This window comes from Homo sapiens, chromosome 11 (assembly GCF_000001405.40).
Source record: "Homo sapiens chromosome 11, GRCh38.p14 Primary Assembly".
NCBI classification, from domain to species: domain Eukaryota; kingdom Metazoa; phylum Chordata; class Mammalia; order Primates; family Hominidae; genus Homo; species Homo sapiens.
The window spans coordinates 100,919,839-100,932,956 of record NC_000011.10 but is presented as its reverse complement, the minus strand read 5'-3'; the positions used below and the strand labels follow the sequence as shown (position 1 = coordinate 100,932,956).

Sequence of the window (13,118 nt, the reverse complement as noted above, 5' to 3'; positions counted from 1 at the left end):
AATTTAACTTTTGAGGCTGATCAAGGACATTTGTCATGTTAACTATTCTGCTATTCAAATGCATTGAAGAAATATCCAGAAGAGACCACTAAGATAACGACTAAAGTATAATAGCATAGATCCCACCCTGGAAGAACTTCTAATCAAAACAAGGGGATAAAAGATGTGCAACGTAAGGAAGACCAAACCAGTAAATCACAGATAAGAAGTACCCAAGGGAAGGAATGAGAATTTGGCCAGATGAAATTAAGAAAAAGTATCACAAGGTGGCAGTACTGATTTGAGTATTGAATAGACAACATTTTAGCAAAGGAATGGAAAGAACATAAAACAGGGAAGTGGTGAGCAAAATCATTGAACTAGATAACACAGGTTTTTCATTTCAGAGAAAGTGAAATCTTTACAAAGTCATAATTTCTATGATCTTAACCTTCTAATCTCAAATTCATATGTGTATTTATGTTTTTATCCATAAATTAAGACAGGCTCTCCATGGAATTACAGGACACAGGTTATATGGAACGTTATATTGGAAAAAAAATTTAAGCATTTTCATTTCATTCACAGGGATTTTATTTCACAGACTTGTCTCCTAACCTAATCTTTCCCACAACCTCTTCCTGCAATAAAGTTAGAAAACATTTTTGAAAAGTCACTCATAATGTATCTGTAACTTATTATTTTAAATTAAGGAAGAAACACAATTTGAAACCATTTTCTCATGTAAATAACACGCAGCCACCTTCTCTGTCTGGGTAGGTAGGGAGGATTCAGCTAAGCATCAACTGGTTACATGTGCTATGATTTCCAACAGATAAACACTGGTTCTATCTGAAAACAATGACCTCATGCTTTTCTTCCTACAAACAAGTCAAGTTAATACAAAGTCATATTCATTTCAGAAAACATTTTCAAACCATTTTTGTTGTTATATTTTAAGGACCTTTCTTCTCTTGTTCAAACAGTCCTGATATTATACCAAAATGTAGCATTTGCCCTTTTATAATTATTTTACACTGTCAGTTTTACATCAACTAATACTTATTATCAAACCTAAATATTCAAGATTATCTTAAAATGATGCTATATTTGTCAAATTATCCAATAAAATATATAGTCTACCTGAATGCATATACTATGGCACAAACAAAACTGCAGCTTAAATTGGATCAAAAATACCTTTAATAAAGGTTTGCATGTTTAGATTTAGAGCCTTTCAGAGAGAAAAGAAAACATTTTTGAAATATATAAAACAGTAGTCTTCTGAACATCCAACTAACAGATTATGAAGTTGCTAAGGAAGTATTGTTTCATGTTTTACCATTTATAATTAATCCACAATTAAACTGTCTCATTACAAACTGGATGCTATACAAAGCAGGTGCTACTTTGAAATCATCATCAGTATAAAAGTTAATTAAACTTGTAAAGAAGATTTTAAGAATATCTGTGATAAATCTTTCTATAAAACAACGAATCCCCTGAGATCCAACTTTTCTAATATTCTTGGTTTCTAGAACATGGAAAAAAGACAAAACACACTGATATTTTCAGAAGCATGAAGTAAACCATTCAGAACTACACCTAGAACATTGCTAAAACTTCTAACAAATGGTCAATTATGATTCTTCAGCCACATAAGTTTCCAGTACATTCAAATTGCTATGCCATGGCTTGATGCTCCAGTCCTAAAGTACTAATACTAATCTGAAAACATGAAATCCAAAGCACTCCAAAATGCAAAATTTTTAGAGCACTGTCACGATACCACAAGTGAAAAAATTCCGCACCTGATACTTTTGCTTTCTGGTGGTTCAATATATACAAACTGTGCTTCATGCACAAAATTATTAAGAATATTGTATAAAATAAAATTATCTTCAAGCTATGTGTATGAGGTGTATAGGAAACATAATGACTTTCATGTTTAGACTTGGATCCAATTCCCAAGGTATCTCATTATGTCTACGCAAATATCCCAAAATATGAAAAAAATCGGAAACACTTCTAGTCCTAAGCATTTTGGATAAGGAATGTCAATGTGTATTCTATTTCAAAAGATTAGACATCTGGAGAAGATGCTGGGTGCGCTTCATGGAACTACCTGTGAGACACTCCCTCATGTGAAGGGCCACTTCATGCTTGCAGATTCACTGAACCACATGTGGGTCGTCCTAACCAAAACTCTTACGGACGTATTTTGACACAGATTTTGGTAAACCAATATTTCCCACTAAACTCTGCTTTTAAATTCTTAATCATGTTCTAAAAAATAAGATCCTGGTACCTTCATCTTATTCATATTATTCTATATCCTCAGCATTTTATATGCAGCCAACTTCAGTCAAGAGGAAAATAAACCCATTGGCAGCTTCTAGCAGAATTCAGATTCACTTAGTAGCAGACAAATACCTTTTAATCTCACAACGCATGCTGAGCACCCACTAGGAAATGTACAATCCTATGGAAGGCACATAAGAATTATATACAAAAAAATCATACACCTTTTCCTTTTTATTCCACATCTTTGGAAGCAGCATTTGGGTTTATTGAAGATTGCATTATGAAATACCTGCCTCTAGATGGCAGCAAAGTTAAACGTTTTTATCGGTTTGAACATATACTTGTTCATTTCATCCTCTACAAAATTCCAAGATGTGAAATGAAAGGAACTGAACAGGACAGCCTGAAAAGCTTTAAGAATTGCACTTCCCACATATCATTTTCTTTGGTGAATCTGCCTGAATGGCTGGGATGTGAGGGAAAAACTATGGTTTCAGTTTACCCTAAAGTAAATTTGACCTTTAAAATAATAACAGTAACCGTAATAACAACTACAAACTTCTAGATAGACGGAATAGGTTTGAATACTAAGAAAGTTCCTTTTATCACTGACGAAATCTCATATAGCACTTTATTATTCCCAAGGGTATAGAACCAAATTACTTGTCGCTCCAATAACCCAACCAGTTGGAAAAACTGATACCATACTTAACAGATAAATAATCTTTTAAAATAACCCCATTACAAGACAGAAAAGGAACAAATATTCAAAATTAAAAACTCGTGCTTCATGTACACTGTCATGAAAATTGAAAGAAAACTCACAGAATGGGAGAATATATTTACAAAAATCATTTATCCCATAAGGGGCTTGTATGCAGAATATATAAACAACTCATAATTAAATAATAAAAAGACAAATAACCTAGTTTAAAAATAGGCAAAGAAATTGAATAGGCATTTCTTGAAAGAAAATATATGAATGGTCAAAAAGCATTTGAAAGATTCTTATTAGTCATCAGAGAAATCGAAATCAAAACCACAGTGAAATCTAAGTTCAGCTCTCTAGGATAGCTAGACTCAAAAAGTGAGATAATAGCAAGTGTGTGTGAGGGACATGGAGAAACTGTATCCCTCATATATCACTGGTGGGAGTGTCAAGGGGTGCAGATATTTTGGTAGTTCGTCAGATGGTGAAACATACAGTTACCACATGACTCAGTAATTCCTCAAGAGAGAGAAAAACATGTATCTACACAAAAATTTGTACATGAACGTTTATAATAGGGGTCCCCAATCCCTGGGCTGCAGGCCAGTAAAGGTCATTTGTGGCCGGTTAGGAACCCAACTGCATGGCAGGAGGTGAGACCTGGGTGAGCTCTGCCTCCTATCAGATCAGTGCTGGCATTAGATTCTCATAGGAGAGTGAGGCCTATTGTGAACTGTGCCTGCGAGGGATCTAGGTTGCCTGCTCCTTATGAGAATCTAACTAATGCCTGATGATCTGAAGTGGAACAGGTTCATCCTGAAACCCTTCCCTCCTCACCAATTTTTTCATGGAAAAATAGTCTTCCATAAAACTGGTCTCTGGTGCCAAAAAGGTTGGGGACCGCTGGTTTATAACATTATTCATAATAGTGAAAAGGTACCTATCAACTAATATTTGGATAAGCAAAATGTGGTCTATCCATACAATAAAATGTTATTTGGCCCTAAAGGGAAATGAAGTATTGATGCATGCTTTCAGATGGATGAACCTCGAAAACCGCATCTGAGTAAAAGAAGTCAATCACCAAAGGGGCCACGTATTACACAATTTCATTTGTATGAAAGGCCCAGAGTAGGCAAATTAATAGAGACAGAAAATAATTAGTGGTGTTTCAGTATTAATGGTTGTGGGGTATACTGGGAATGATACCTAAAGGATGTGATGTTTATTTTTAAGGTGATGAAAATGCTTTAAATTTTTTTGTGGTGATCGTTGCACAGATCTGTGAATATACTAAAGTTCCATTGAATTGTATAGTTTAAATGAGTTGTCTGTATGGTATGTGAATTGTATCTTTATGACTTTTTTTTTTCTTTTTTGAGACAAGGTCTCACCCTTTCACCCAGGCTGGAGGATAGTGGCATGATTAGAGTTCACTGCAGTTTTGACTTCCCAGGCTCAAGTGATCCTCCCACCTCAGCCCCCAAGTAGCTAAGACTACAGGCGCATGACACCATGCCCAACTAATTTTTGTAGAGGTGGGGTTTTGCCATGTTGCAAAGACTGGTTTTGAACTCCTGGGCTCAAACAATCCTCCCGCCTCGGCCTCTCAACTTGCTGGGATTACAGGTGTGAGCAACCATGCCTGGCCTGAAGTTGTTTTTAAAAAATAAAAATAAATACTTCCCAAACACAAAGCACCATAAGGCACTATAAGAAATCAAAATGTTATATAGTTCCATCCTTCATATTTGGCCATCTAAACTTCTAAGAAGATTAGAAAAGTAGGGCAAAGTCAAGGCATCAATTTTCACACTGTAAAAGTGTCAGGCCTGTGAGTTAAATCTGTAGTCTTTGCAATTCCCTGCCTGGAGGAAACTTAGAGATAAACATCTTAAAGGATACCTTCAAAATGACTACAGATTGCTTTAAGTCTAATGCATAGATGTGCAAAGGAGTTCATGGCATGAAAACGAAAGCATATATAAATCGAATCAAATAAATAATGAGAAACTTGAAGATAAAAAGAGAGCCAAGAATGGAAAGTGGCCAGTCAATGCTGGCCTGGAAAAGACTACTTTTAAAATGGGAGGACAGAAGCACAAATGAATGAATGGACAATTACGTGCACTGATTAATAAAACAAAGCCGTGGCCATGCATCGCCTCAGCACTGAAAAGCGTCATTGGAATTCCTGAAAAGATGGATTTGTAAGCATTCAAGAGGATGGAATTCAGATGAAGAGGCCTGAGGTACACTTTCCTGGTAAAGGAACAGAGGCATTGACAATAGCCAGCTTATCTTTACAGCTCAATTGTAATAGAGAAAGTACTGTCACCAGCAAGCTGATAAAGCCCAGCAGAAGCTACATGATTGATTTCTACCAAACACATAGGATGCAGTTTTCTTACTTTTACAAAATTCTGTTCACTAAGTTCTATCACAAATTTCTAATTTTCAATAACAATACCCTGAACTTTAGATTTATCCAAGGACCATTACAGATTTTATTTTTACTTAAAAGTTTTGTTGTTAAATTTTTAAAGAATGAATGCCCTTAGATTTTAAACAGGATAGAAATTTAACCTTTAGTCCTACAGAGTTTCGAAAAACAATGATGCTAACCTTATTTTTTTCACTTTTACTAAATTAAAGCTAACTGATTACGTTGAAAAAGAAAAACACATCAAAATGTTAAACTTTCAAAAGCTGCTCATCTATATACTAGCTGATGGACTTTTAAAAAAGACTTAGCCAGTAGCATTTCAATCTCAAAATTATTTAAGCTTTTTAAATTTAGAGACTCTGAAAAGTATTTTATAGTATACGTCTTGATAATAACAAGCTATAACATGTTAGCAAATTAGGCAAATTTTCTTCAGCGAAAAAATTTAAATTGAATTTAGCAGTCCAAGGGAAGAGCATCAAAAGCACTATATTTTAGCTTATATATGATGATTTATTTTCATTTTCTGCATTAACTTTAAACATTAATACAGAAAGACTATAATGGACTCTAAAAGGAATACTGTAACATGAAAATGCTATTACAAAACTTACTCTAGGTGTATATTTAGAAGGCTAAAATTAAAATGTGTTTTTAAAAAAGCCACACAGGGCTTTAAAGCCACAACTAACAAAGGGATTCATAAATGTTGTTTTCATATCTAGCAATCATAGTACAGGTGAGGTACACACTGGCTGGTGCCTTATTGACGCTAATGAAGTACCAGGTACAAGAGCTTTGTGCATTACCTGTGTTGGTTGATCCTCACCGTGATCCTGGGAACTACACATTATTTTTGTCTTCAACATACAGATAAAAACCTGAGGCAGAGCATTTGTAAAGTGTGCCATATTTGCACAGCTGTAAGATGTGGAGCCAAATTCCATCTTATTCCAACTCGTTAAGCTATTATACTTTCTGTCTCTGCTTACCAAAGGTAAACCTCTTATTTTCTTCTAATTTTAAGGAATTAATATAACTACACTATATAATTTTCTAATCGTCCATTTTATTTGGCCAGAGCAAATATTATCAGGAAGGATTAATCTCTGTAGTTAAGTGTCCACTGAGGAAGTGGTACTATGCCATGACTTCAGATTTGGGTTCTGAGTTCCTATCTGCCACTTTAGGTTTGTGGCCTTAGGCAACCAACAATCTTTCTGTAACTTAGCTTCTTCATCTAACAACTACTTCATAATAATGCTGTTATGGATTTACGTGAGCTAACACAGAGAAAACACATAGCACATAGTAGTTGCTCACAAAACATCAGTCCAACTAAGTAGGCTCAAAGGACATAAATCAACACACACACAAGTTTACAGCTGAATGAATCATAAGGCAGATGAGTCATAACAAGATTCCGTTTTCTAAGCCACAAACCTTTATGTACCATGAAATTCTTCTGAGACCCCTGGGCTCCTCCACAACTCTTATTTAAGCTGTTTGTGTTCAGAGTACTTCTAGAACTGCTTCTTCTAATCCATAAACATTCTCATAACTTCGGGCAGCTCTGAGCAGTAGGTGAATATTATAACCAAGAGTCAGGAGATGTTTCTCCCTCCCTGATCTCTTTCCCCCATCATAGACCTACACTTGCGTACCTTGTTGACACATCTGAAAGGATGAGCCCACTGTTCAAGAGACACATAATATGAGCCACAAATGCAAGCCAATGTGTAATTTACTAGTAAATATATTTAATTTTTATTTATTTTTTTGAGACAGAGTCTCACTCTGCCACCTAGGCCGGAGAGCAGTGCCATGATTTTGTATCACTGCAACCTCTGCCTCCAGGGTTCAAGTGATTCTCGTGCCTCAGCCTCCCCAGTAGCTGGGATTACAGGCACCCACCACCACGCCTGGCTAATTTTTGTATTTTTAGTAGAGATGAGGTTTCACCATGTTGGCCAAGCTGGTCTTGAACTCCTGGTCTCAAGTGATTTGCCTGCCTCAGCCTCCCAAAGTGCTGGGATTACAGGCGTGAGCTACTGTGCCCGGCTAGTAAACATATTTTAAATACTTTAAAAAAACAGTGAAATAAATTTGAATAATTTATTTTAATACAATATATCCAAAATAGCATTTCAACCTGTAATCAGAGGTATTAATGAGCTATTGCCCATTTTTTCATACTAAGATTCTGCAGGCTGCTGTTGATTTTATATTTACAGCACATCCTAACTTAGACTAGCTGTGGGTAATTGCTACCATACAGAATGGTGGGTCTAGAAATCAACAGTGAGCTATAATCCCTTTCTATATAAAATATAATAAACTGGAAAAAAGATGGCTTATAGAGAACTGAGTTTAAAAAGCTGATTTCAGGCCAGGTGTGGTGGCTCACGCCTGTAATCCCAGCACTTTGAGAGGCCAAAACAGGTGGATCACCTGAGGTCAGGAGTTCGAGAACAGCCTGGCCAACATGGTGAAACCCTGTCTCTACTAAAAATATAAAAATTAGCCAGGTGTGGTGGTGCACACCTGTAATTTCAGCTACTCGCTCAGGAGGCTGAGGCAGGAGAATCACTTAAACCTGGCAGGTGGAGGTTGCAGTGAGCTGAGATTATGCCACTGCACTCCAGCCTGGGCAACAGGGCGACACTCCATCTCAAAAACACCAAACACAAACAAAAAAATTGATTTCAGGTATGCTTTTAAAACAATAACACGTAGCTTATTTATAAATAATACATGAATGTCCCCTTTTAGTTCATGTGTCAGACCTAGTTTTTCTTTAGAATAATGACAGTGTAGGATTATTTATTTATTTATTTCCTTATTTATTTATTGAGACAGAGTGTTACTCTGTTGCCCAGGCTGGAGTCCAGCGGCGCGATTTCGGATCACTGCAACCTCCATCTCCCAGGTTCAAACAATTCTCGTGCCTCAGCTTCCCGAGTAGCTTAGATGACAGGCACACACCCCCATGCCCAGCTAATTTTTGTATTTTTAGTAGAGACGGGGTTTCACCATATAGGTCAGGCTGGTCTCGAACTCCTGACCTCAAGCGATCCACCCGCCTCGGCCTCCCAAAGTGCTGGGATTACAGGCATGAGCCACTGTGCCCAGCCAGAATATTTATTCTTAATAGCACATGAATACTGTATAGAAGTTTTATGACAAGCAGTAAGATCTTGATATTGATTAAAACAATGTAAAATAATCTAAAAAATACCATCATAAGGTAAGAATATTATTTCATGAATCACTATCCCCTGTTCATATTTTCTTTTGGATATCTTACAATCTGTAGAAGATAGATCCCATCCCCAGGCCATTTGCTTTACTCTAATGCTTATTTGTTAAAATAATCTGGGCTAAAACTAGAATAGACTACTAGATTTCTGCAACATGCAACAGCAATGCAAACAAGAATTGGATTTCTAAAGAATAAAACCGGCAAAAACATTAAAGTGTTTTCATGTCTTTTTATGTTTATAGCTCCTGGGAGCTTTGGTTTACTACTTTTCTCCTCCAAATTAATTTGTAAATGCATAACCTAAAGATTGACATACATACTCATGCTTCATTGATCCCATTTCTATTCTCATTGTTCAAATGGATATTAAGTACAACTCCATGGATGAGACTCTGAGGCTAGAAATGAGGATGAGACCAAACTGACAGTACTATTTGGTTTGGCCAGATGCTCTACTAGGAAAAACACAGCAGCTGGGAAAATATTTTGGAAGAAGAACAAATATAACATCAATTTTGACTGTGGTGTCATAAGAAAGGCATGCATGACAGAAGACTTAACAGGACATCATAGCTTCGGATAAGGTAAAAGGAAGAAAACACATTTCAATTGAAAGGTGGCTTCTACTTCTCTACTGTATTTTTACAGGAATTCATAAATTCTTGTCATTCCTTCTGCCACCTGTGAACGAACATTTTTTTACAATCTCCTCTGTATACATCTGATGTCATCTTACAGAATGTTCTAGTTCACTATTCCCAGATAGGATGGGCTATAAAAGAGACTTAGGGAAACAAGTGACTCCCATATCATCTTCCAAGAGGAATAAAGGGATACAGATGTGAAAGGATTATTCCAGGTGTGAGAAGAAACAACAGCACAGCAGATCAGCACAGTGTCTGAAGGAAATGGGAAGATACAAGGAAGGAATATGCAGAAAAACTGTCAGAATTAATGGAGTCTCAGATGGTTTGGTGTCAAGAAGAGCTGAAATTCAAAAATCCCAAGGTGCAGGCCCTAGGGAAGTAGTTTGCTAGCAAGAAGCGAGGCTTCAAAAACCATGGTGGGATTCTGGGGTGGGACTTAGTCAATGGGAAGGTGAACAGGAACCATAAGTAGTGGTCATCTTCCTAGAATAGGAAATGTTAGGCTGGCTAGTTGTCCATGAGCCCCAGATGAGCTTCAGAACATTCTCTAGGTCATATAAAGTTTAATCAGATCCTTAAAGGGTCCACTATATAAGAGGATAATGCTAGGGGATTTAAGGATTAAGCTGTTTGGTAAACAGAACTTGAACTTCAGTTTGTTATTCTAAATAAAACGTAAAAGTTAAATCCCTGAGCCTGAGTGGTGGTCTTCAGTTCCTTAATCTTTCTAGCTGGAAGCTGGTCTTGCAAATGTGCCTACTGCCTAGTTTACAGGAGAGAGTCAGTAGGCTCCAAATAAAGGAAGAGGTCCTGGAAGCCAGGTTGGGCCTGATAACAGTCCCCAACCTCTGCTCTGTCTCAGTTTTCCATTATCTTTAGGGGATAGCTGGTGGATTTCCATTAGAAAATGATTTATGTGAAATGTATTTTATAATGTTGCCTTCCTTTCCCTCTCCTTATCATATCCACTAATATAGAAACAGAGTATTTTATTTTTTATTATGAATGGATTTTTTAAAGGACTTACATAGGAAGAAAAGAATGGCTTAGATTAGATATTTGATTACTTACACATTTATTAACCCTATCCTCTGATCTCATGGGAATTGAAGAATGCAGACAACAGATCACCTGACTCTAGAGCAAACCTTTATTCATCATACATGTCACTTTGTCAAGATGCCTATTTAGGCAATATTGGAACACATTAGGGTATCACTTGAAAAAAATGCTAAAAAATGAAATAAGCTTATAAAGACCAGCCACCTGTTCTTTTCTGTAACGCGGTTTACATTAGGAAATCCATTACATTTTACACTGACTTAGGAAAATAAATGACTTCATAGGAAAGTCAAGCAGATCCGAGCCCTGTGAGGAAGGGGAGCACAGAACAAAGGGGAAAACAGAGCCGTTGGTTTTCCCTCTCCGTCTAAACATTTGCTAAATGGGTCACTGTACTGGTGAAGTGTATTCATTCATCTATAGATAATGCACATCCTCTTTTTAAAAAATTTCTTTAATTAATACACTTTATTTTTGGAGCAGTTTTAGGTTTGCCAAAAAATGAGTGGAAAGAATGAAGTTCCCTTATGCCCTCTCAGCTCACCTGTCCCCCACCACCTCTGCACCCCCCTCCCGCCAACAGCTTCCTCTCTTATTAGCATCTTGCATTTCTGTGGTACATTTGTTATAGTCGATGAAACAATGCTAATACATTAATATTAACTGAATCCATAGTATACATTAGGGCTCAGTTTTTGTGCTACACATTCTATGGGTTTTGACAAACATATAACGGTATTCTCACCCATCACTACTCTATTGTACAAAAGAATTTCACTGTCCTACAAGTTCCCTGTGCTCCACTTTTTCATCCCTTCCCACTCCCCTTTTATTTTTATCAATCATAATTTTCAAGAAAAATTATATATTATAGAAAAAACAGTGTACTTTTTTTCCATAGATTGTTTTGAGCCCACCATTTATACAAAAATCTGAAACTTACCGGTTCAACAAATTCAAACTTCTTTTTTTCTTGGACCTCTTGAATTTTAAAGACATATTCTAATGATGCTTCATAGAAGTTCTGATGTTCTCGGTCAATTTGTGTATCTGCCTAAAGAGAAAAACCAGAGGGTGATTACTGATGGTTCTACATAGAGAGGGACTCAATTCCTGCTCTGGTATCTTTATTAAAAAGTAACTCCTACAAAAAGTTTAACACAGCACTTATTATAGTCCTTGCCTACAGGAGCTTATAGTGTATGGGGCAGGAGCTACACTCACACACACAGACACATACACACACGGAGTAAGTACACAATACCCATTGCAGTAAAAAAAAAAAAAAAAAAAAAAAAAAAATATATATATATATATATATATATATATATATGTATATATATATTACAAGAGGGGTATATAAATGTAAATGAAAAATCACTGGATCATAGAAAGATGGATAAAATTCAAAATTATGGGACAAAATGGTGGTATTTGAGTTGAATCTTAAGACAAACAACTGACTGCATTGCCAAAAATATAAAAAAAGCAGGGGCCGTTTTCCTGAAAAAGTAGAGGCACGAAGGAGACAGATTTGACTGCAGTATGAACACACGGAGAAGAAGAGGGAGAAGTGAGGATAGCATCATACTATAAAGTATCTTGGATGCTGCATAACAAATTAGGATTTTAATGGTGGGAGAAGCATCTAAGAATATTAAGCAGGAGAGCCACCTCATTAGGTAAGATCTTAGGTAATACTGGTAGCAGAGTCAAACAAATAAACAGACAAATAAAAATTCAATGGCTCTAAACTGATGAATCATGCTTTGTCAATGCCATGCACTTTTATTATATCTGATTGCAGTAAGGTTCTATTGACAAAGTATGAGAGAGTATTACTGAGGTGATTTAATTTTCTTTTAGACAATGCCTCTCTCTTCCCTCTTCTCTGCCTATTGCCCTCAGATGCACTCTTTAAAAAGTGACTTTAGCTTAGCAGAGAGACATGACTTACTTTTCTTGCCCACCTCTACCTTCCTTGTCGCCAGTTGGGTATTACAAAAGCAGATGGAAAGAAGGGGCTTTCTGGAGTACTAAGTATCCGTTGACACCAATTTGGGGATAGAAAACTTGAAGCCATTTATAATGGTGGTTTCACAAACAAAATTTTTGAAAAAAAAAGATTTTATTGGTAAGACTTCCAGTTAACAGACTCTATTAGTAATTAAGTTTTGGAAGAGTAAAAAATTATACATGTACTTTCAACTATGCAGGGAGTAGGTGCACCTAACCCCCATGTTGTTCAAGAATCAGCTGTAATTATCTATACTTATCATGCATTTAATTAGGTAATTACAAATAATCCAATATTACCAGCAACTCACTAGAGACGTTTAAAGTTGAGTATTCTAAATTTTTAAGCTAATAAATGTGAAGAAAGTATAAATCAGGTAGGAGATTTGAACCCAAAACTTTTCAGCTCCCAGACATCATTTATGAAAGATAGAGGTGCAAAAAAGAACATCAGTATTCCACACAAATCATGTTTCTTTTCTTCTTACCATCGCTTATTGGAACACACTATATACATAAGAATTAATTAATTTAGTAATGAGGGATAGGTGTTAATAAATGTTTAACAACTGGCTGTCTTGGGAGAAAAGCCTGATTTGCAGTATTTGTGGTTTCTGTGGTACAAATATCACCAAAATGGGCAGTTTCAAAACACAAACTCAACATCACAGAATGTGGAAGCTGGAAAGAGAC

At 36.2% G+C, this 13,118-nt stretch overlaps 1 protein-coding gene across 5 annotated transcripts in view, besides 3 other annotated features; it reads right to left on the bottom strand.

The window, feature by feature from the left end:
* The window catches only part of ARHGAP42 (Rho GTPase activating protein 42), a 306,654-nt gene that overhangs the window by 60,985 nt on the left and 232,551 nt on the right, over window positions 1-13,118 (bottom strand). For all 5 annotated transcript variants that reach the window (NM_001367945.1, NM_152432.4, XM_011542616.3 and 2 more), the window contains one exon: window positions 11,353-11,463. In NM_001367945.1, the coding sequence (NP_001354874.1) occupies window positions 11,353-11,463 (111 nt within the window). The remainder of the gene's footprint in view (window positions 1-11,352; window positions 11,464-13,118) is intronic.
* Window positions 6,939-6,998: an enhancer, noted in NCBI's record as "active region_5432". NCBI's record gives its function as "activates an Ori minimal core promoter by ATAC-STARR-seq in GM12878 lymphoblastoid cells {active_cell/tissue: GM12878}" and the evidence as "EXISTENCE:reporter gene assay evidence [ECO:0000049][PMID:35858748]".
* Window positions 10,025-10,319: a silencer, noted in NCBI's record as "tiled region #5256; HepG2 Repressive non-DNase unmatched - State 24:Quies". NCBI's record gives its function as "represses a minimal TATA promoter and a strong SV40 promoter by Sharpr-MPRA in HepG2 cells {active_cell/tissue: HepG2}" and the evidence as "EXISTENCE:reporter gene assay evidence [ECO:0000049][PMID:27701403]".
* Window positions 12,594-12,763: an enhancer, noted in NCBI's record as "experimental_18463 CRE fragment used in MPRA reporter constructs". NCBI's record gives its function as "activates a minimal promoter by MPRAs in K562 erythroleukemia cells, with activity observed for the introgressed 11:100791010 variant allele {active_cell/tissue: K562}" and the evidence as "EXISTENCE:reporter gene assay evidence [ECO:0000049][PMID:34662402]".